At 33.9% G+C, this 24,339-nt stretch overlaps 1 protein-coding gene across 15 annotated transcripts in view; it reads right to left on the reverse strand.

Annotated features, from left to right (window-relative positions):
• FYB1 (FYN binding protein 1) overlaps window positions 1,065–24,339 on the reverse strand; it is a 169,277-nt gene continuing 146,002 nt past the window's right edge. For 11 of the 15 annotated variants that reach the window (XM_006714464.4, XM_047417073.1, XM_047417072.1 and 8 more), the window contains 9 exons: window positions 23,554–23,620; window positions 21,811–21,948; window positions 20,066–20,091; window positions 18,149–18,215; window positions 15,348–15,447; window positions 14,687–14,849; window positions 6,169–6,202; window positions 4,044–4,075; window positions 1,065–3,278 (listed from right to left, as the gene is read on the reverse strand). In XM_006714464.4, coding sequence (XP_006714527.1) covers window positions 3,256–3,278; window positions 4,044–4,075; window positions 6,169–6,202; window positions 14,687–14,849; window positions 15,348–15,447; window positions 18,149–18,215; window positions 20,066–20,091; window positions 21,811–21,948; window positions 23,554–23,620 — 650 coding nt within the window. In that variant the 3' untranslated portion in view covers window positions 1,065–3,255. Of the gene's footprint in view, window positions 3,279–4,043; window positions 4,076–6,168; window positions 6,203–14,686; window positions 14,850–15,347; window positions 15,448–18,148; window positions 18,216–20,065; window positions 20,092–21,784; window positions 21,949–23,553; window positions 23,621–24,339 lie in introns of those variants that run through there. The other 4 variants (XM_011514011.3, NM_199335.5, NM_018594.2 and 1 more) reach the window with 2 other exon arrangements.

The following is a 24,339-nucleotide window of genomic DNA, read 5'->3' on the forward strand; positions in this document are numbered from 1 at the left end:
ATAGGCCTGCCTCAGTATCCCTGCAACACTCAGTCATTAGCTAGAACAGCCTGATCTTGGCACAAACATTGTGATGGATTTCAGAATGCAGCAGCTGGGGACTTTTGGACAATTAAATGCCCCATAGTTGGAAGTCTTTGAGGCACATTCTCCTGGCTGCCACATATACCCTGCCATTTTAAGACAATGAAATGAGGGGAAAAAAATCCAAACGGGCTGTAGCTGGACAGGTTTTTGGGCCCAAGGCAAAGTTTCATGTTGCTTTTTAGATGGGAAAGATTTCAGTGTTTGTAAGCCTAGAGAAAGGAATCTGCACAGTGGGAGAACTTAAAGATAAAGAAGAGGGATAGCCAGAGGGAGGCAGAAAAGGAGAAGGAGAATGGGAAAGAATGAATTGTAAAAGACAAACACTCCAGAAAAGGCAGGAAGAAATGGGATCCAAAGGTTATGGCTTTGAATTTAAGGCATGACATCTTATTCTCTGGGACAGTGTCTGGATATGGGTTAAGGTCAAAGGTTGTAGGGAATTGAAAGGAATTGCGTTTAGTTATCTTAATTTCTGACACAAAATAGGAGTCAAAGTATTAGGAGTCTTGGTAGAAGGTTTGGTCTTGAAGAGGAGATATCCCGTCTTCTGAGGCTGAAGCTAGAGTCAAGGTTGGATGCAGAGAAAGACTGTTTTGTAGATGTAGGATCAAGTTAAGAGAGAGGAAGCCTGATGGCCTCAATATTAAAAAAATATATTTATTTCTTTTTTTTGAGACAGGGTAAATTTTTTTGAGACAGTGGCACAATCATGGCTTACTGCAGCCTCGACCTCTCAGGCTCCAGTGATCCTCCCACCACAGCCTCCTAAGTAGCTGAAACTACAGGCATGTGCCCCCACACCCAGCTAATTATTTGTATTTATTGTAGAGACAGGGTTTTACCTTGTTGCCCAGGATGGTCTGGAACCCCTGGGCTCATGAAATGTGCCCTCCTCGGCCACACAAAGTGCTAGGATTACAGATGTGAGGCACCGCATCTGGCTAGCCTCAATTTTTTTAATGAAGTAGGAGGCAAGGTTATCCATTGAAGGTATTATTTATTTGCAGCTCATCTTAAGTGACAAAATTCCATACAGAAGACTATAACAGAAATCATATTTAATATATTAAAATTAATACTTCAAATATCTTTCACATTAAGATGATTATCTATTGTGTAAATCTTTCCTAGGTATGTGTGTCTGTTTCTTGATGTGTAAACCAAAACTCTGAAATATTCTCTTGATCTAACTTTGACTTTTAAAAACTGACATTGTACTGAATTTACATAATTCTCAATCAGAAAAAAAATTACTGTCAGACTGCAATGCAAGTCTGCCCCAATGAAGGCAGGAGGAGGGATGGCTGGAAGTGTCTCAGGGCACTCTGAAAGTTTAGCAAGCTTATCAAGGAGTCCTCAAACTAAAGCTGGCCAAAAACTTCAGCATAAAAACTATCCTGTCTGTGTATTATATATATTTATTACCAAATTTAATAAACAAAAACCACTTTTGAACCAGGTAATTTTATCTAGTGTGAAAAGAAATTAATCACATGGTCATATACTGGCTAGTGCTCTCTAAAAGTAGACATTAAAATATTTCATAATTGGAGGGAATCTTTGGAGATTAGTGGCATCTAATCTTGGGGCCTCAGACACCCAAAATCTATATATTGACCAGTGGAAGTTGATGATTTGTTATCAAATTTCAAAGCACCTAATGGAAACCCCACTTCATCTCTGTGAAGATTTTCAGTTCCTTTACAGTTATTTGAAATTATTTCAATTCTGTGGAGCCACTTCAGAAACTCCAATGGGCCTTTGCAATATTAAAATGTGGAGAATGCATTAATCATTATTTAATCAATGAGTTTAAAAAATAGACAAAAGCTTCTGAAACATGGGACTGAAGTAGGCGGAGCATTATAAAAGCCTAAGGTAATTGGTAGTGAAGAGTTGGAAAAACTTACTTAGTCTAATATTGTAATTTACAGATAAGGAAACTGAGAAGATAAATAATTTATTCAATATCACTCGATGGTTCATTAGTAGAAGAGCCAGCATTATGATGTACTCATTTTGTACTCTAGGAGTTGTTAAAAAGCACTTAATATCTTCTTTTCTTGGGTGTTAGCATTTTTCATTTTTTAAATCATGCTATTTAGTGTTCTTAACATTTGAAACCCAAATGGTTCACATTTTGTTTTTGGATTGCTTTGGGAATGAGTATGTACTGTTAGAGAAGGGCCCAATCCAAACACTAGAATTTTAATAATTTCTACTCCCTCTGCTGGCCAACTTTCCAGTAAAATGGATTTTAAAAAAAGAGAAAAAAAAATCTAGCGGTAATTGAAACAAAAACAAAAACTTTAAAAAGTGTCTTCATTATAAAGAGGTGCCATGCATAAAAGCCTAGGTAGTTTCAAGGTCCATTCTTCCATTCCTCATGATTTTAGGGTTATCCTCATTCAGATCTACTCTAGTTATAATAGTACTTTAAACAGAGCACAGAATTAAACCATTAGTATGTGAATCTGCAAAAAGAGAACTTGTTTTAGACTCTTCTACAGTTTAGACTTCAATGTGCATACTAAATGCATAACATTCGTATCAAATAATTAACATTTATATACAATTAACAAATAAGGACAAATTTTATACAAAACTTCTACTACTGCTATAATTTTTGAAAACATTTAACCCACTAGCAAGAGGTAAGACAGCACTGCCTTTTTAAAAGACAGGTCACTTGAATAGAGAATATAAGATATAACCATAAGTAGAAGTATAAACAATAATTTTTCTTCTTGTGGAATGTTTTTAAATTTCCTTTCTTATATTATTATTCTTCCTTAGGTTTTTTTAGACAGGTCATTTCTTCCTGAATGATTTTCCTTTTTCTTTTATTTTTATTTTTTGAAGGAGGATTATTTACTGGTGGTCTAAAAGAAGTACCTTCAACTTCTTCATAATTGTAGCCAAAGCGGAAATGGAATATTTAATAATTCTTACATCTCACTAATGTAGTCTTCTGAGTTAACAATTAAGCAGAGAGATTATTTTCTATGTTCAAACTTTAAACACTTTGTAAAGATAATTGGGATTTCATAACAAATGATAATAAGTGGTTTTGTGCATTAATTTTCTTGATACCCAATAACATGCCAATTAAAATCCAGACTTCACATTGGCACCTAATGAACACAGCAGAATGACCAAAGTTGAGTGCTAGTCATTGTCATAGATGCAGCCTGAAAGGAAAAAATACAAATTTAAATATAGTTATTAAAAACATATTCTCTAAGTATTCCAAGTTTGGAAATGTGGGTGATTCATACTCTCCTGGTTAAGGATTAAAAAAAATAGAACTGGCTCACTTTATAAAAAATGAGTTAAATGGAAGATCATATATTTAACTTTTATTATTTAGTATATAATTCAACAAAATTTCTGGACAGATTTATTCTCTATTAAAATGAGACTCAAGATTATTTTATGTGGCACTTAGTCATATACTTTTTGGTAGTCACTCTGAACGAGGTTGAAGATATTAAAGAGCAAGACTCATAAGTTTAAAAGACTAAAGGAAATCATGATCAACACTGCATCATTTCAGTTAGATTAATTTTTTAGATTACAGTTTGGAACTATATGATGCTTAGAGAATATTGGTATTACTGGTTATGAAATAAGTACCTATTTATTTGCCAAAAATGTTTATTTGCTTGGATAAAAGAAATTCTTATTATGAGTCACAGTACAATAAAAAATTTCCCAAATATTTTTATACTTCTGTTTTCAAAGAAATAAATAAGGTTTTTCCTTAATTTTCCATCTTGTGGGAAATGCGGTATTTTCCCCCCATTATGCCAGGGCATTTACCTTTTCTAACATTTTCAAGTGATTCAAATTCTGATCAGATTGGAAGTCTCTAATCCAACAAGCTATTTTTAGCATTTATAAAAACAGTAAATTCACTATGACTGTTCTCTAGGGTGGTACTACATAAGACTTACCATCAGCAATATCATCATAGATCTCTCCATCACTGTAAATGTAAAAAAAAATTTTTATTTTAAAGAAACTATGTTCTTGGCATTAGAGCAATATATAGAAGAATAGAGTAACAGTATAATTTTATAAGACACAATTAAGACTTTTAAGCATAGTATGCATTTATAAGTAGAAATAAATTTGATATTCATTATCTCTTCTTTCATTGACTTAATCTAGTCCTCTGTTTCATTTTACATACAGAATAATTAAAACATGCTTCAAGAGCATAGACTATGCCTTACTCATCTTTATAAGACATGTTTGTTAACAATGTACTAAACATCATGGTACAATACTCCCATTGGGGATGTTAATTCAAAGCTGCAATGGACTTTTATGTCTGTTAATATCAGATTCATACTTTCACTTGAATTTCGAATGGTGAATTAAATACAATAATAATTGGCATAGGAAATGGTTGCATCATTTTCACATGTTTTCTAATTATAACTCATACATATAATAAAATATATAAATATTAGTTACAGAATAAGTAGCCAAGATATGATTATTATGGTGATTCTTATGTAATTTTAAAACTATTACTTATGATTATAGGCAGCATCCATAATAGTAATTTTGGTACTTTTACACATTTTAGGTTTTGCCTGGCCCTGAATCTTTGTGATATTTTCTATCCGACAAACATACTGAATCCCTTCTATGTACCAGGAGACAAAAATTTGAGTAAGAGACAAGCTTTGCTTTTAAGTACCTTATAATCAAACAGGAGATTATATAAGAAATAAAAATAGAGAGCATTATAAACATGAACATTGCCTTGAAATGTAAGATATACTTCTAAAATTCAGAAATGTAGGGTGGCTTTGTCACTTAGACCAGAACTACTCTTTGCTGTACAATCTCTGTGCTTTATCATGGAAGCAGCAGCAGGCCCTTCAAACTGCTGCCAACTATGGCAGATGCTGTGAGTTCCCTATGTCTTCTGTTTGGATCTTTTCTCTGAGATGGAGGGAGGGTTTGGCTAACGGAAATCTCATCCAAATGCGAGCAGGACAGGTTTTTCTGTCATTTATACAATAAACATTTATTAAGTATTCGCTTCAATAGGTGGTGAACCAACAATTACTTACAGAGTATGCTTTCTAAATTCTCTCAATCAGCCTGTAATAATCACTGATGGAGATGTTGTCCTATTATTTGCCACACATTCTGTCCTTAAAATTTGTATCTTTCATAGAACAAAACCTATTGAAAGTCTCTTGCCTCCCACTGTGATTAATGTGCTCAGGAGAACAAAGGTATTATGATTATTTTTCTTTGGCCTTTACTAGTTTGCCAGCAAAGCTCTTCACACTGATTTGTGTTTTTCTGATTGGTGTCAGGTTGTTGATGGGTACACAGTTTGTGACTCCTTCTGGATCTTTTCATTGTGCTAAATTCTGTAAATCTTTGCATTGGCACGTGACCTAACCTGATAATGGAGTTCGTTTCTTGCACTGGGTTACTTGGGACAGAATCTTATGTTTCAGGGGACTCCAAAGGCACACTAGTACCACACTGTGACAGACTGTGACAATGTCTTATTCATAAGAATAGAAGAATCATTGATGACTGTCTTTTTTTCTGGCATGCTTCCATAAAAGGCAACATAGTACTCTACTATGCCTAGTGTGAGTGAAGCAAAGCCCTTAATTAAGGGCTAAATTATGAACTGTTAACAGGTGATATTAGCACCTACTATGAAGTCACTAATTGGTCCCAAATTAATTCCACTCAATCAATTGCATTAGCAAGTAAAATGCAAAATATTGATGAAAAGGTTACTGGCTTTGACATGTCTTCAGTGTTTGCTGAGAGCCTAATGAATATATAAAACTATTAACTATGAGCTGTACAATTTTAAATGAGAAGGGCTCCTCGCCTATTTAAAAGAGTAGCACTTCATGGAAACCTAAACTTTATTATGGATACTAACATGTTAACGTTAGTATAGCATATTGTTTTTAAATTTATTTATGATAGTTGAGTAGGTTACATTATTTAAGTAATATTATAAATATTTTAAAAAGAAAGGCACAAAATTCTTTTCACAAGCATAGTAGTAGAAGAAAATGGGCTTACTTGTCCGCTAGGTAACTCCGAAGGACATAACCATCTACGAAGGAAAAAGGAAATAAATTGTATCAATAATACAGGTTGAAAAATCTTTAGTACTTTTTTCAGGAAATCAAAACACAAGAGAGTAATCATAGTATATTGAATAATTGTATCTATCTCTGGAAATGACCCATTTTTCTTACTTGTGTCTACTTTTGTGTCCTTCCTTTCTTCTCCTTTTCTCCCTAACTTTTCTCTTTCTCCAGTATGTCTCTTTTTTCTCCAATTTCAACCTTTCCTCCTTTCCCCTTTAAATAAAAAAGCAACTTTTTTCATTAAGCTACTGTAGGCTGTAGCACAGAGTTCAGTGTGTTACCCCCATGATCCAGTTTTAGGAAGAATTTAGTAAGCATAGATTATAAAAGTCATTTATTGGTAAGTATTTTAAATACCACCAGATCTAAGACTTACTTTCTAAAATTTTATTATATTGAGCAGAGAGAGAACTGTATTCAACTCCCCTTTCAGATCCCAGCCAGCTATTGACTACTAGGGGGACTATGCATTGTAAATAGTCTCAAACAGGTCTCTTTTACTCTGTATGGAAGAAATTCCTCTACTGTTTTGCTATTGGACAGTATCAACATTTGCATTTCATCACTCATGGAGCAAAAGCATTATTGGAAGAGCACATACTATGGATTCTATGATGCCTGGTTAAGTAGAAAATAAGCCATATTTTATGCAAGAAAGCTAAGTTTTGTTGTTGTTGTTGTGTGAGGGGCACCTTATATTTGCCTCTCATTGTGCAAATGTTTCTCAGGAAAAATAGGAACTATTTTTCTTAAGAAAATGCCTGCTGATATCTAATTAATATTACTAATCTTTGGAATTGTTAGTTTTGTGTTAGTGCCTAAAATCTGTTGTATGCTTGAGATTAGTACCATTTATTGCTTCCTCAATACAATCTCTAAATAATTTCTCTCAGTGAGTCAATCTATTGGTTTTGGTCCACTTTAGATCTAATTTTAGTTCTGAATCAAAGCAAATGTGTTACAAATTATAAGGAGAAAGCTCATAAGCAAAAATTAATAATATAAATGATAAACTTACGTAAATGTATTGATGTCATATTGCCAATGATTAAACATGAAAATATTTTTTAAAAGTTGGAATCATAAAACTGAATTTATACATTAAAATTTAAGAAAATGAACTTTCCCTTGAAGTGTTATAGGGTTAAAAAAAACTCCACTAAAATATTTTATCAAGAAGCTCACTACTTTTTAATAAAAACAATTTATAAGTATCATATTTGGGAAAGAAAGAATCAAAGTTACCCTTGAATTCTCGTAGTAGGAAAATAATGAGACATGTGCCAAGATAATAAAAGCACAATAACATATTACTCAGAGTATAAAAAACTAGAAGTAGGAAAAGTAATGAAACACTAGGAAAGTAGGAAAGTAATGAAACATGTGTCAAGATAATAAAAGCACAATAACACATTACTCAGTATGAAAAATTAGAACACGTTGCACCTTCCTTTATATTTCAATTAATGCAAAAGTAGCAAAAAGTATTAATGTAAGAACACCTACAATTAATATCTATAGTCCGTGGGTAGGCTTTGATATCACAGTTCATTTCATGTTAACAGACTTTCTTTTTAAATAAGGTATACATAATAATTTAATGTAATTTTTAAAAAGGGATAAGCTCATGTCCAACAAATTCAATTCTACATGTGTCTCTCAAAAGAGAAAAATCTGTGCAAATAACAAGCTTTTAGAACAAATTGTGGATTTTGTATCAGGGTTCTCATAACTGAAATAACTCTTTATCTGTACCCATATAGGGCTACACTAAAATTTGAACAGTTTTCTACAGATAGTAATAGTCATTGACTTCTTTTTATCAGTTAAAATTGGGGGGTTCTGCTTTCATTTTGGATTTTTTCCTAAAACAAATTGGAAAATAACACAATAGCAAATGTTCCCATAATATACTCATGTTGATGTTAATAATTTAAAAATAATGATGTATATGAACTGAAGCTTTCAACACTGAAGTCAATCTCATATGATTTGGTAGGGATTCATACAGTCTCTGAGCTAAAATTGGAAGATAAATTAGAAAAATATATAAGAATTATAAACTGTTGTTAGAGACTGAAGTTATTCTGGCATCAAATATAAAGTTCAAAATGAAGAGAATGTAATCACCATTTTTAGAAATTAAAGATTTTTATTTGCTTACGCTTTTAGGTAATCTATTTTTTAAAACTCATTTATGCTAAAATGTTGCAGGTTTGGATAAAACACTAAACGAAAAGAGAGCTAAAACAGTGCTTTACATGACCAAAGTTAATCATTCATGATAGAGAGCTTAATACTTCAACTTTACAAATTACTTATAAAAAACACATTCTCTTAGATTCTCAACCTGTATTTCCATTCCCTCCTATATCTGTGTGTTCAAGAGTTCTAAGGAACAGCCTTCTCCTGTGTTGAACACTTTGTTGCTGTTGTTGTGTGTTTGTGTGAAATACATAAACATCAATAATTGGGACTATTATTTAAGAAAAATGTATTAGGGAGATGGAGTGTGAGATGGCACTGTGCTGCAAAAATGATGTGATAACACGGGGCTTGTTAGCTATAAAGTCACAATTATATAGCATTTTTACAGGGTAAATGACTTTTAATACAGCACAGGTTTTCCTGTCTAGTACCTTTAAAAATCTCAGCTAAAACTTCACTCTATTAAAAGCGTGATTCGTGACAGTGTCAAAACAAGTGACTTACCATAAATTTTTATATAATCTCTCCATTATAGGTCCTAGAAATACATATATTTTTTGCGGTAGGAAAATCTCTTTGTTCATGTTACACATGTACATGTATTATAGGGAATGTTAGTGAAAAATATAAACACATGAAATAACAACAACAACAAAAATCTCATCATGGTCTGTATCATGTAGAAGGGCAGCTATGTTTAGCGCTGTAATATTGTGAGTGCGGTCACACCAGGGATTCTCACATACAATATGAAATTATTATTTGGAAACCTCACATTTATAGAGCAGAACACAACGGCTTGAAACAAATGTTTTGAAATATGTGGTGGGGTAGAGCTAGTTAGGAAAATAACACCCACCTCCCATATGTGCCAGTTAATTTCTTCCCCAAATGTTTGCTTGCTACAGTGCAGATGTGTCTCAGGATGAATGACTCACCTTTTAGAAGGGTATTGTGAATACAGATTAACCAAGGAAATAGAAAATAATCTTTGGAAAAGTGGAAATTATCTTCATTCTAATATTTTCAAATTTTTTACTTAATAAAAATGACAACATACTATTTCATCATTTCATTTGTTGTGGGTAAATCCAGAAATAAAATTAAATGTACTCAATTTGGCCTCATGCAGTTTAAAAACAAGAAAATCATATTGCATAGATTTACCTAGGCAAGTGGAACAATGTCCAATTTCAGTGGAAAATGCTCATAGTATAATAAAAGAAAAAACAGAGCGTTGTATATAATACTGAATATAAATTATTATCCTAGTTTTATAAAAACGTTCACTCTTCCCCTCTTCTCTGTTTATATTGTTATTTCTGGGGCTTCATATTTGGACGACATTTTAACTCTCTAAATTTTAAAAATTTTCTTTCAGTGTGCATGTGTTGTTTTAAAATTGAAAAAAAAATTATGTAAGTTAAAAAAAAATGATCAATTGGATTTGGGAAGATCGAAAGCACCTTTAAAATCCCTTGGTCTTTGATGCCTAAAGAAAATGGAGAGCATTTTGGCCACAAATAACTCAGACAAAAAGTATCTTATTCTACATCTTTTGTAGAAAATTTTTTTCAGTGACAGGAGGTGGGAAAACTCACAGCTTATGAGACATAGAGTTGTGGAATATGTATAAATACTAGTGAGAAACTCTAAACATTTGGAAATGTGCCAGAAATTTATATTTAAGAGTTCAACGCCTACACAGTAGGAACTTCTACAAGTCAATGGGTGAGACTTGATCGAATGTGATAATGCCTGTAAAAGTGGCTGATGTCCCACTGCGTAATGGTAAGGGATTGTTGTTCTTGCTTTAGCCTTTAGTTGCTATCATTACGAATTTAGGTTGAAGTAAGCTATGCTTTTCTTTCTTTGATGGATTAAAGAAGAATGGAGGGTAAGGATAACATTAGTTTCACCATGGTGCTGGGTTACAAATGCAAAGGCATTTGTAATCAAAGATGCAGAAATAAGGAACCAAAAGATTTAGAGGCTCTGCAATGGCATATAACAAGCTAACTACATCACTAAAGCCAAAGGAGAGAATGTCTGTCTTCTAACCAGTTAAACTATTCAGCAGACTTCTTTCTGTGAGTATCTGTATGTCAGACTTTCATCTGGCTATCCAACTGCAGTTTCCAAATTGTTTCATTCAATCCAGCAAGCCCCACGCAAGGTGCAAGGCATTGTGTAACGTGCTGACATTACGATGTTGAGAACATTTCATTGAAGTGACTCTGAAGCTCAGAGTCTAATAAGAATAATAGGTTGGTAAAACAATAATGACAATGACAGCAGCAAAAGAAGTATCATGGTAGATTTGAGGAGACATTAATTGTGATGGTGTGGCTAGGAGTAGGTACTGGGGGTGCTTCTAATTTTAGATGACAACTGAGTTGTTTTTAATAGAGAATCATGGGCATTCCAAGTTGAATAAAGTAGCATAGTAGGATGAAACACATAATTTTTTTTTTTTTTTGAGATGGCGTCTCGCTCTGTCACCCAGACTGGAGTGCAGTGGTGCAATCTCGGCTAACTGCAAACTCTGCCTCCTGGGTTCAAACAATTCTCCTGCCTCAGCCTCTCTAGTAGCTGGACTACAGGCATGTGCCAACATACCTAGCTAATTTTTGTATTTTTAGTAGAGATGGTGTTTTGTCATGTTGGCCAGGCTGGTCTCAAACTCCTGACCTAAAGTGATCCGCCCACCTCCGCCTCCCAAAGTCCTGGGATTACAGGCATGAGCTACCGTGGCTGGCCAAAACACCTAATTTATTCAGGGAATGACAAGTAAATAGTTTATATTTCTGGAGTGTCAGTTGTAGATGGAAAACAGCAGTGGATGAGGGTAAGCCTAGATGATAAAGAGTTTTATGTGCTCGCCTAAATACTATATTTTAAAAAATAATATTTGGGTAACATTGTGGGGAAGTTGATTCTGAGTGTAAGGGCAAAGATAGACATATCACTAGAAAGGCTATTGCAATCATCTAGGAGAGGGAGGGTTAAAAAATCTTATAGAGGTGTGCCAAGAATGAATTAGCTATTTTTAAAAATTAAGAATGTCAAGGACCCAGTCCATGGAAGGAGTAAGCAGGTTTGTACAAATTAAGAAAGGCAGGAAGTTAGGAAAAATAAAAATGAAAGTAAGCAGATAAGGTGATTAAATCATGAAATAATACTTAACCCGAAAGTCAGTAACATGCTCCTAGTGCCTCTCCCTTACACCCGCATCCTTACCACGTGAGTACTTGCAAATCCAACTGACAGTACTTGCATTTAAAAATTTTTTCACTGATGGCTTTTCTCTGGCTTCTGGAACTCTGTCAGCTTGCTGAATATCCTGAATTACTCCCTACCTTCCCAGGAATAGACTTCAGCTCCTGAAGGACAGGAGTTTGTGTATAAATACCCCAATTTGTTTCCCACTGGATGGGATAACACTGACACTTGGAGGTCTCCAGCATGATCAAGCTCCAATAATCCAAGTGGTAACTTTTTTGATCATAAGACTTTATCGGCTGCCTTCGCTTCTCTATCTCATTCACTTGCCACTGGCATTTTTGCAGAATCACTTTATGGGGAAGCCAAACTAAGACAAAATCCAGCCCATAGAAACTCTTTACATAAAAAGCAACATGTATATAAGTGCTACCATATAACCATGTGGTTTCCATCCTGTCTGAGATGTACCCCAAAGCCATCTAAGAATTTAGGTAGTTAACGATGAACTTGGAAACTGTAAAGTGCATTGGTACTGCAGCAGAAAGAAAAAAGATATTTACATGAAACTCTTGATTGTAATCTATCAGAAGTTTACGAAACATTTTCACCTCTCATTCTTAGAAGATGACACATTCTAAGAGGACAGGAGGCCTGTAGTATTTGTAATAGTACTTAGAATTATTGATGTTCAAATAGAAAATGATATTAGATTATGCAGTTATTCTGAATGGCTACTTATTCTTAAGGTCAGCTGGTTCCTAGGAAGATAAGAGTCTCTTCTCTGAATTTCTCTCACTGGTGCCGTATCTATTCCTGTCCATCTATATCCATACATGTTTGTTGATGAGATCATAACATCCTTGTTACTCAGGATATGTGAAGATCTATGCTGATCCAAAGACCAGCAGCATCAATTACCTGGGAGCTTGATAAACTGTAGAATGTCATGCCATTTTTATAAATGTAAGGTGGAAAAAAATAAGCAAAAAAAAAAAGAATGTCAGACCTCACATCTGCAATTTCAACAAGATCCCCATTGATCTGTATGCACTTCAAAGTTGGAGGAATGTTGCTTTAGATAAGATTTGCTGCTAAGCATAGGAGACTTAGGTCACTATGGCAAGAATTTCTTCTACCATACCAAGGGCAAGATATGTAGAAGCTTCTGCTTGTGCCCTGGAGAGAGGTCTGTATGACAACTACTAGGACAATTCTCTCTTGTAAAAAATGTGAAATTATTTGGAAAGTAGAGGGCAGAAAATACATCATTTAGACTCATCACCTTATTGAGACTGATTCCTATTTTGGTATTTAATTATTTTTTAAGTTTAGCTTCTCTTCTTTGCATGATTTTATAACATGGCTATAAATCCTACACCAAATTAAATAGCTTTCTTACTTTTTCTACCATATGTCATGAGAGATTCATCATATTACTATCATAATTTTCATTTAGAACATTCAATTGGGTGTATTCATCGTAACATTTAATAATTTAAAAATCTTTGAACTTTTAAACATTTTTTGATGAACTTTTGATGCTTATAGTTCTTTTAGCACTTATGGCTATTCCTTAAGGTAGATCCTCGCAAATCCTAGTCTGAATGGGGGTTTTCTTTGTCCCCTGGGTATCTTTCTACACATTATCTTCAGTGAACTTCCAATCTTAATATTACACTGCCACTGCCCTTTATCTTTTGTACCCACATTCTGTATTTTCCTTTGAAAAGCCAACCACACCTCCTCCGTGATAAACTTTACATCCATTTCCTCCACCCTTGAGTCACTGTGTTTTATTCTTGAAACTCCATTTCAATTCCTGTCCCTGAGTCACCTTCCTCCCATTAAAATTAAACTTAGAGTCCATGTTTTCCATGCAGATTGACCAAGCTGATATGGGGCAGCTGTAGTGGCTATCCAGTTTCAAATATAAGACAATGTAATTTTGAATTACTCTTCTCGGGATTTAAATACGCTTTCTTTTGAAATTTGACAAAAATATTTCCATCTGTCAGTTTTCTTTTATTTTCTAATTTTTTCTGTTTGTTTGTTTCTTGAGTCAGGGTCTCACTCTGCCACCCCAGCTGGAGTGTAGCAGTGCGATCATGGCTCACTGCGGCTTGGAACTCCTCAGCTCAAGTGATATTTTTCTGCCTTAGCCTCCCAAGTAGCTGGGACTACAAGGCGCACACCGCTACATCTGGCTAAATTTTCTTTGATTTTTAGTAAAGACTAGGTCTCGCTATGTTGCTCAGGCTGGTCTCAAACTCCTGAGCTCAAGCAATCATCCTGCCTCAGCCCCGCAAAGTGCTGGGATTACAGGCATGAGCCACCGCACCTGGCCCCCATCTGTCAGCTTTAATAGCTGATAAAGTCAAAGGAGATGGGAACTTTTTTGGATTTATTTGGAATAGTATGTTGCACTAAGTGTGTTCAAATAGGAAATGAAAACAAGTGAATTTGTAAGGTAAGAAAACTGGAAATTCTAGGTGTGAAATATCCAGAATTCTACACAATTCTGTATAATTTGATATTCTCCATAATTTTAAAAGCAGGCCAGAGCAAGAGACACTGTCTACTTTAGCACAGTGGTTCTGACTTTAGTGTATACATGAACAAGCTAGGGAAAAAGTTATCATCACTGTTTTTACCTGATTTCTAGAACTCATGTTTCAGCAAGTCAAGGGTGGGTACAGGGAACTGCGATTTTAATACACACGCAAGGGCTTTCTGATGCTGATGGTCTGTAGTACTGCATTTTGAGAAGCAGTAATTTGGCATTATCTTTGACACCGAGTATATAGATAGTATATGGTAAATAAAAAGAGATTAAAATACATTGGTTTCAGCACAGCATAATGACCAACTTCTGAACGTTTGCCACAATTTACAAAGGATAGGGCAAAAAGATAGATAAGAGTTAGTAAACACAGAGTAGTCACTAAAACTTGTTTGGTTGTTAAATTCTGGAGTGACATATATATGCACATATTATAGTATAAGCAGTGACTTACATTTCCCTTCTTCATTTCTGCAGAGAACTTTTGTGTCATCTGTGGTTTGTATAACTTCTAGAGATTCACCAGGTTTTACCTGTAGATCTCTGGTTCCCCACTTTTTAGAAGTTATGGAAGTTGTAACTTTAGTTGAATATAGGACTCTAATTTCACCATCATACTAAAAAAAAAAGAACAATATTTAAATTATTGGTTTATGTGCATTATTGAAACAACTTATTTATGGATGGATTTATTAAAAAGTTATTTGCTAAAGAGATAATTCAGTGTTTTCGAAATATAATGTAGGAATATTAAAGAAAATGTTGAGGGACAAACATCATTCATAACCTCACCAACCTAATATAATAATTATTTTTAGTACTTTCTTATTAAGGTTCAAAGGACAGCTAAATTTAGGTGATTATCACAGTGTGAATACTGTGCATATTATAGCTTGCTTAATCTTTTATAAAAATAAATTTAAATCTAAAATAAATTTTGTTCAAAATAAAAGAGTTATAACGGCTAACTGTAATATTGATAATTACACTTTAAAGTGTGCATTTTGTTACTTAAAAATCATTGGATTTTTCAATAGTGTTTTTTTTGTTACTTAAAAATCATTGGATTTTTCAATAGTGCTTTGTACTTTGTATAATATTTAGATATGACATACTTTAAATTTTTTCCTGAAGTCTTTTTCTTCTTTTTCCTGCTTTTTTAGCTTCTTAAGGTCCTTTTCTTCTGTCTTAGCTTTTCCAACATTAGTTCCTTGACTAGAACGGCAGAACACACATAAAACAACACTTTGTTTAGAAAATTAAAAAGAATAGTCCATAACAGAGACGATTCATAGCATTATATTTTTAACTTTTTGTTTCAGTTAATTCTTTTTGTTAGAAATCCAGTAACTGTCATTGTAATAAATGATGACATTCCATAATGTAGGAGGGTTTCCTCAAGCAAATATAGATTATGAGAATTAAAATGGAAGTGAGAGATTAGATTCGTTCTTATACTGAACCATATAAAATCACTGAGTCATGGTTTAAACTTGGTTGCATGTCAGCAGTTTCATATGACTTAATCTATTCTTAAACCTCCCTAAATTATCAGCCCTTTCTAGATAATTATGTAGCTTGGCCAATGTCATAAGAAAGGCTTTTTAAAAAAGAAGAGTTCAAAAACAATCAATTTTTATGGTTTATAACATTTATACGTTGTTTTGTTCACATCTACTTAAAATGCAGCTAGAGTTTTGGTTAATAAAAAAACTTAAGTAAAAGTTAAGATTTTAGATATTATAAGAAGGAGCTTTTTAAAAAAGATGGTTATTACTGATCTTTATCTTCATCCCTTTATCAATTGTGTGTGTGTGTGTGTGTGTGTGTGTATGAAAGAGAGACAGAGACAGAGAGGAGGAGAGGGAGAAAGTAAGAAAGATAAGCACATCCTAAGTGTTTAGATCAGTTAATGGACTTACTTTTTTTAAAACTGCTAGGATCCAGGTATAGAAATCCACTATATTTTGTAGATACCAATTATCCTAATATAAGTGAACAAGCCTAAAACAGTGATTTTTGTAGCCTGTCCGCACACAGGATCACCTGGGAAGCTTTTAAAGCATACTACTGCTCTTGCCCAATTCCTGGACATTCTAATTTAAATTAATTTTAAAATTTAATTTAGTCTGAGCAAGGTCCAGGTAGTGCTAGACACATTTTAAGAGCTTCCCACATGATATTAATTTGTAACCAAGGTTGAGAACCATTCACTAGAGTTAAATTATGGATGGTAGGGAAGAGCTATAGATATCTTTAGTGAGCATTTTAAAAATTAGAATATATTAATTTTTATTTAGATGATCTAAGATAAAGTTTTGTTTGTAACCAATTTATTTTAAATGTTTAATTCTCAATTTTGGAATCTTAGCTTTCGTTCATTCATTGTGGAGAGAATTAGCACAATATCTATATCAGGTTCTGCGTCTGCCCTCAGTACTGCCTGCCTATGGTAGTCTGGGCATTTGTGGAATTACTGCCCCAGATTAACTCTCTGGGGCAATCAGAATATACGTGAAAGTTAGAAATGCCCTACAAGCTATCTTTAAAAAAATTTATTGAAATTTATTTAAAAATAGAATACGACATTAGAGAACACAAACTTGCTTTAAACTCTGAAAATAAGCAAAATGGGGAAGAAAATTGTCCATATCACATAAAGCTTAGTTAGCTGGGGTTTATTTTGTTTGAAGAATAAGGCCAGGTGTGACTCTTTGTTCCTAGAGAGCGATTTTATGGAATGTGATGTACAGTAATGTAAAGCAAAAAAAAAAAAAAAAAAAAAAGCATTAACAACTGTCAAGGGTTGAAACACCACTGGTGAGAAATAGTAAAACCTGAACATATTACTGAAGATTCCATTTTTGTTTCATGGAGAATTAAAAAAAGGGCAACGGCTCTCTTTTCATCTTTCTTATTTGTTTTGCCTGTGGAACTTGATCTTCATATATGAATGATGGCATATTTTCCCTTCAGAGTCTTTGATTTTGATACTCTCTCTAGTTCAATAAAATTAGTTTAACAATTTTGGTAAAAAATAAATACTTAGCGTTTACTCATGCATTTTTACCAGTACAGCTCAGAAGACACAACTTACTGTGTTCCATTTATGTTACTTTCATCCTTTAATCAAATACAGGATCTTTTGAGTCATCTTTCTTTTCTCTTGAAAAAGCTAGATAGGTGTTCTTGCTTTTATACTCAGTATGTATCAAATCATTTCATGTATTTATTGGATTATGAGAAAGCAACCTACCATGTTATTCTCTATTTCAAAAAAAATTCCAAAAGGCACTCCTTTTGTATTACTTGATCTGAACTGATTTTATACAATTTTAGCCTAAAATTAATTTTTTTAAGATTTGAATGTAACCTACCTAAAAGTCCTTTTAAAAAATAAATCTTTTTTTCTTTTTTTCATAAAGGAAACTATCTTGTAGAAGACGGAGGTGGCTTGAACAAGATGGGTGAGTGCTGAGATGTAAGCTAAGAAGTATATTCAAGAAAAAAAGGTTTGGGGAAAACAGTATGAATAAAGAGAGGAGAAGAATCAGTGAGACTGGTTGTGACCAAGATCTTAAACATATTTCCCCAGTGAATGAATGAATAAATAAACCAGACATCAGTAAGTCACAGGCCCAAGGTTAATCAGGAAACAAGAAGCAGAACCAGGAGGATGGAAGAGAATGAGGGGAGGAAGGGGTGGAGGTGGGGGCAAAGGATTTGGGCTATCTACTCACAAACCTCGCAGGGAGGGTAGAGCTGAGATTGGAAGGAAGCATAGCTTTAGAGAGGAGTCCAGAGCCAACAGGATCGCACACAGTAGACACACATCCCACTGGGTTTTTATTTCAGTTGAATTTTCTTGAGTATTCTCATTTTCATTACTTCATTGTAATGAAAGCATTTTAATTACCTCATCTCTGCTGATGAAACAGGGAAATCAGAGGTATCCACATCATCGTAAACTTCATCTCCCATGTCTAACAAAAGACAGAATATCAAAGGTTGAAACACTGTTAGTTTAGATTTTGATATGAGCATTCAATGATGTTTTTAATATAAAGATTGCTTCAAGGACAATAAAATAAGTTGTCCTAGTGTCTCGGTAAATTTCTCCTGGAAGCATTGTCTGCTTCTGAAAGGGGAGAGGTTATTATTTGCCAGGATGCATGTGTTAAATTATTCAAAAAACCAGTGACCATAATGATAATCATCGTTATCTGGAAAAAAACTCATGGAACAGTGACTATGATTATCTGAAGATCTACAAGTGCAATGAATGTCAGGAGTGGCAAATTGCTGATAAACAAATCAACATTACTGGCCACTGGCAGGATGAAGTAGAGACAGAAATTGAGATTCTTATGGGATTTAGGGTGCTGTGATAATATATATCATCCTATTTAAATGTCTCTCTCCTTCCTTCCTCCTTTCCTTCGCCTCATTGATCTGTTTCCCGTTACCTTTTACCTTACAGTGATATTAGGAGTGGCACCACCTTTAAATGGAAAGATTATTTCTTTTAATTAAATACTTCTGTTACCAACAGGTATTGAGAAACAGTATTGGCAGAAAAGTTGTCATGATCTTAACTGGTTCAATGGCTTTTCCAATCATTAAAGCTTTTTCTCCCTTCTAGACTTCTTACTAATAAAGTCAGGAATAATGCTTCCTCCCTGCACATATTAATTACTCTACAGTCAATGAAGCTGAAGAGATTGAGTTGAAGAAATTGCAAATATTTTAAGGAGTTATTACCATAAAAAGTTTAAATACTCTCTGGTAGTGGCAAGGAATTTATTTCCTTTATAAAATCTCCCCCTCTATGTCCTCCACCCTCGTGTGTATTCAGGTTAACTAATTTCACACGATGAAACTTGCTCAGCTGCGTGAAAAATAAATACTTTAAAAAATATCATCTAGAAGGGTCAAAGTTACTACTCCGTGCACATGCACTTAAAACATATTTAAGAACAACAAGCAATTCTAACAAAACCTTATTTTTTACAGAATTGATTACTTTTGTTTCATTTTATACCCACTTTTTGAGGAGTTAATTTTTTTGAATACTTTAAAAATATTATAGATTAGAACACAAGCTTATTATCAGGCACTGATCAGCTTGAGTTTGTCCCTTACATATTTTCAAATTGATAACTGAAAAGAAAGTTCTAATGTCAGATAAAGGGTCTATAGAAGAATAGATTACCTCTGTGTTGGTTTGCTCTTTTAATATACTTATAAGTTAAAATAAATAAACTTTTTGAAAGCCCCTGAATATTCTTAAGACAACATTTTATTTCGTTCAAAGTAAATTTTAAAAACATCTAAAGATCTGTCTCAGCAGGGATGAAAAAATAGTAACTGATAGAAATTTTATAAAGAAACTGTTATATTTAACATTTTCCAAATACAATATAAACTATCCATTTAAATATTCAAAGAAATTAGATTTAGAAGAGGCTTACTGGCATGTAATCTGGAATGTTTTTAGATATCCTTATGCAGAAGTCTCATATATCAAGCTTGGACTGAATTGAGGCTGGGGGATATAGGGAAAATTGGTGCTTATCCCTTCCCACTTATCCCTAACCCAATAGTGGCTCTTGGAAGAACAGTTTAAAAACTATCAGTCTTTTTAATTTTTCTCATCTTGCTATTTTATCATTGAGCACCTGTGACCACCCAAGGTAAAGTTACTTGCTCAAGGCTACACAATTTATTATTTTCAGAGTCAAGACTTTAATGCAGATACTATATCCAGAGCTTTCCCACTACCACACTGCAAGAAATGAAGATACAGAACATACAATCAGTTTTTATTACTTACCCAATTGTTTAGGAGGAGCAGGGAAACTACAAAGAAAGTGAGAACACAATTATAATCAGACTAACATGAACACAGAAATTGATTCCGTTATATAGGAGAGTATAAAGGGGCAATAGCCTAGAGGCATATTGGGTTACTTCATCTGTTGACCATCATTTCTTTCTCATCCTCCATTTCTCCACTAAGTCCATTTCTGTTTATCAATTTGGAACTTAGCAAGACATTTTTTGAACCCCAAATGTTTGCCAAAATGTCCAGAGTCAAGATACTCAATTGGTTTATTTTGCCCATAGCCACTGGATCAAAATTTCCAGATTTGCTATATGAGGTTTGGGCATAATATCAAGCCAGAGTAAATGAAAGGGACTCAGTATTTTGGAGGCATCGTGGCATACATATTCTGCCTCCAAACTGCTTATTTGAATTAAAGAGCAGAAATACAGACTCAAAATTAATAGAGGTCACAGGAATATGACCATGTTTCCCAATATGTGCATATATACCCCAAAACAGGAAAATGGTGAATAAGAGGAATATTTACTTAAACCAGAGAGTGAGAGCTTATTAATTAAAGTGCTCTGAAATCAGAATTAAGTGGCATTTGGCTGCAACAGAAGAAGACCCATGCTTCTATTTTCTGAAATATGACTTCTAAATACACTCCACACACACACACACACACACACACACACACACACACACGTACACACACAAACACACCACGGAAAGAATGGTGCACAGAACAGAAATGACTGGTTAGAATAGAATGTGAGGGATCATTAATTCAAATGATCCCAAATCAGATTTGGATAGTATGTAATTGAAGCAGAAAAAAAAAACCCTCTCATTTTTAAGTAAGGGTTATATTTGAGTAATGCTGCTCAAGAGAAGGTTTCTTGTGTTTTCCTAGAATTTCAAGTGTACTCTTTATTGACTTGTTGCTTTGGTGTTTTACAAGCCAATTGGGAATGCTATATGGAATTAACATCTTATAAAGACTTGAGCTAAATGTGGTGAATTCATGAGCTAAATATAAAACAGAAAGATTTTCTTGTACCAGGGAATATGATTAAGATCTTTCAAATTCATATGTATGGAATTTATACTAAAGGATTATTTTTGGAATAGAAAGAGAAAAGTTATGCCTTAGATTTTATTTGGACAAACTTAAGATGTTTAGAATACTTTTAGTATAGGAAAAATTATTAATATATCATTAGAGTGTAATATAGTTAAAAGTCTTTAATTATTGTACTTAGAGAAAAAAATTCAAAATTATGTTCTTTATTTCAAACTATTAAAAAGAATGTATATTTTGAAGAGTATTCAATATAAAATACTATGCAGTAAAATGTGGCATTGGAATTGTGAGTTTTCAGATGTAATGCTATATTTTAAAAGGTCCTAGTAAATGGGTGTGTCAGTGTTTGTGTATGACTGTGTGGATGAGCGTGAGAGGGTATGTGTGCAATTATGTGTACATGTGTGTTTTTGTGCATTTTTGTGAAGAAAGTAAAATATATCTTTGAACTATATGATGATTTCTGAGTACTTGGCCTTCTTTTATGTAATGCAGGAGCTTAAAGGTGACACCATAAACGGGGCTAAGATGATTAACGGAAAATTGCATTAAGATGATTTAAGTCTATCAGAATTTGGTTATTGGTTATAGAATATTAGTAGCATTTGATTCAATACATATTAGTGTAGTTATTGTACACTGGATTTGGTTGGTTGACTCTTACGATGAACCTTCATTATTGTCTGAGTCAGAGACTTTAGGTTTCTCTCGTATACTTTTCTTTCTGTCATCTTTTCCCTTTAACATCTTCAAAATCCCCCAGGACCACGTATTACTCTTCTCTTGAACCTGTAGTGTGGAGCTTTGGAGCATGCAGGCATTGATCAGAATGTAATAATCAGCGGCAAGTGAAGACATTGTGTGGACATTCAGATTCTTTATAATCATTAATCATTACGGCCACATTAATCATTCAGGCAGTAAATAACTCATTTTATTGGACAAAATAGTGTTATTAAATTTACAGATCATGGTGATTGAATACTGCTCCTACGAACCTGATCATTTTTTTTTCTATCAAGTGAGAATTCTCCCACTTCTTAAAATGTGAAGCAAGTCCATAAGGATTAAGTTTCAAAGAACTGGATGTGGTGGCTCACCCCTGTGATCCTGGCACTTTGGGAAGCCAAAGTGGGAGGATTGCTTAAGCCCAGGAGTTTGAGACAAGCCTGGGCAACATAGCAAAACCTCATCTCTACTAAAAATAAAAAACATTAGCTGGGTGTGGTGGTGCACACCTGTGGTCCCAGCTGCTCAGAGGCTGAGGTAGGAGGATTGCTTGAGCCTGGGAGTTTGAGGCTGCAGTGAGCTATGATCCTACCACTGCATTCTAGCTGGGGCAACAGAGTGAGACCTGGTCTCAAAAAAAAAAAAAAAAAAAAAAAAGCTTGGACATCAATTTTGCTTTATTTATGATTAAAATGAAGTAATTAAGAAATCTTAGGCCAGGCACAGTGGCTCACGCCTGTAATCCCAGCACTTTGGGAGGCTAGGGCAGGCAGATCACCCGAGATCAGAAGTTCGAGACCAGCCTGACCAACATGGAGAAAACCCGTCTCTACTAAAAATATGAAATAACCCAGGCATGATGGCACATGCCTGTAATCCCAGCTACTTGGGAGGCTGAGGCAGGAGAATCATTTGAACCTGGGAGGCAGAGATTGCGGTGAGCCGAGATCGTGCCATTGCACTCTAGCCTGGGCAACAAGAGCAAAACTCAGGTCTCAAAAAAAAAAAAAAAAAAAAAAAAGAAATCTTAAACTTTTAAATATGCCATTTAAAATGGAAAAAGAAAATTTATTTTCTTATTGACCTAAAATATTTTTATGTTTATAAATTGTTATAATTATTATAAATGAACAGATAATTATTATTAAGTTAAAGGATTAAGTATTCAATACTGGTTCTGCCATAGGTAGCATAGGTCTCAATTTATTTGGGTTGCCTATATTATAATCATGTTATTACACAAGGGATAGCCATGCAACTGATAAACTCTTCAGGGATTGTTGTAAAAGTAAATTATTGATCAATAAAGACTTTATTAGGAAAGACTTAAAAAATATCCACAACTGCCAGTGCACTCCAGCCTGGGCGACAGAGTGAGACTCTGTCTCAAAAAAAAAAAAAAAAAAAAAAATACACAACACCTGTAATTTATCTTTTGTTTTCATTTCACTTGTTTTGCTGTAGTTATTGAAGTTCTTCCAAACAATCAAACACTTCGTTTGAAGTGTGGTGAAATTACACTTCCTGGTTTACAATTGCTGTTAATTAAACATTCAAATCATTTGGGGTAATGTGAGAAAGAACACTATTTTCCGCTTTTTATTTTAACTGGAAATCAAAACTAAATTTCAATGTATATATAATAATTTGCAAAAAGCAGTTCACTGATTATTCTTACCCATCATCAGCATCTTCCTCTTCAATCCCATCATAAATGTCATCATCTGGTGGTGGAGGGAATATCCCTTCATTTGGATTGGAGGAAAATCTTCTGTTAATTTTATAATTTGGCCATGTAATGCTCACTCAGATTTTAATTGTAAATCTTCCTTATTTAACTGCAGAGAGCATTTCACTTTCATGTAAACCATTTAAATAAAAACACTTTGTTGATTATTTTATAAAGAATTCTTAGGGGTGAAATTACAATAACAAAATGAGGGCTAAGAGGCACTGTGGACTTGAGTTGAAAGGAATGAGGGTGCAAAAACATGAGAAAAAGTAAACTTAAATAGGGCATGGAGTTAAATATTTATTGTGGAAAAAGAAGTGAGGAGGTGATACAAATCTAGCTAACTAGTTAATGGTGAGGAGACATTTAGGAAAAGATACTGATCAAGACACAAGAGAAGAAAAGCAATGGGATGAAAGGTGAATTTGTAAATATTGATGGTAGTTGAAACAGAAAGAAGTGAAAAGTGACTTTTAAAATACATATTTTTGAAAGTTAAACTGTTTCTGGTTTCATTTGTTATTCTATGCTCTTCAGGAAACTTGCAATTTGACAGATATTTACTTAACAATTGTTTATTGAGTAGTTTCTATGTGCAGGAATATGTAAAATGACCTTGAAATTTGACTTTTAGTATGAGAACTTTAGCACTGCAAGTGTTAGATCAAATCCCTTATTTTGTTGCTGGGAAATATAGGGGCCATTGAACTACAGTCAAGGTGACTAGATAGG

This window comes from Homo sapiens, chromosome 5 (assembly GCF_000001405.40).
Source record: "Homo sapiens chromosome 5, GRCh38.p14 Primary Assembly".
In the NCBI taxonomy this organism is placed as follows: Eukaryota; Metazoa; Chordata; class Mammalia; order Primates; family Hominidae; genus Homo; species Homo sapiens.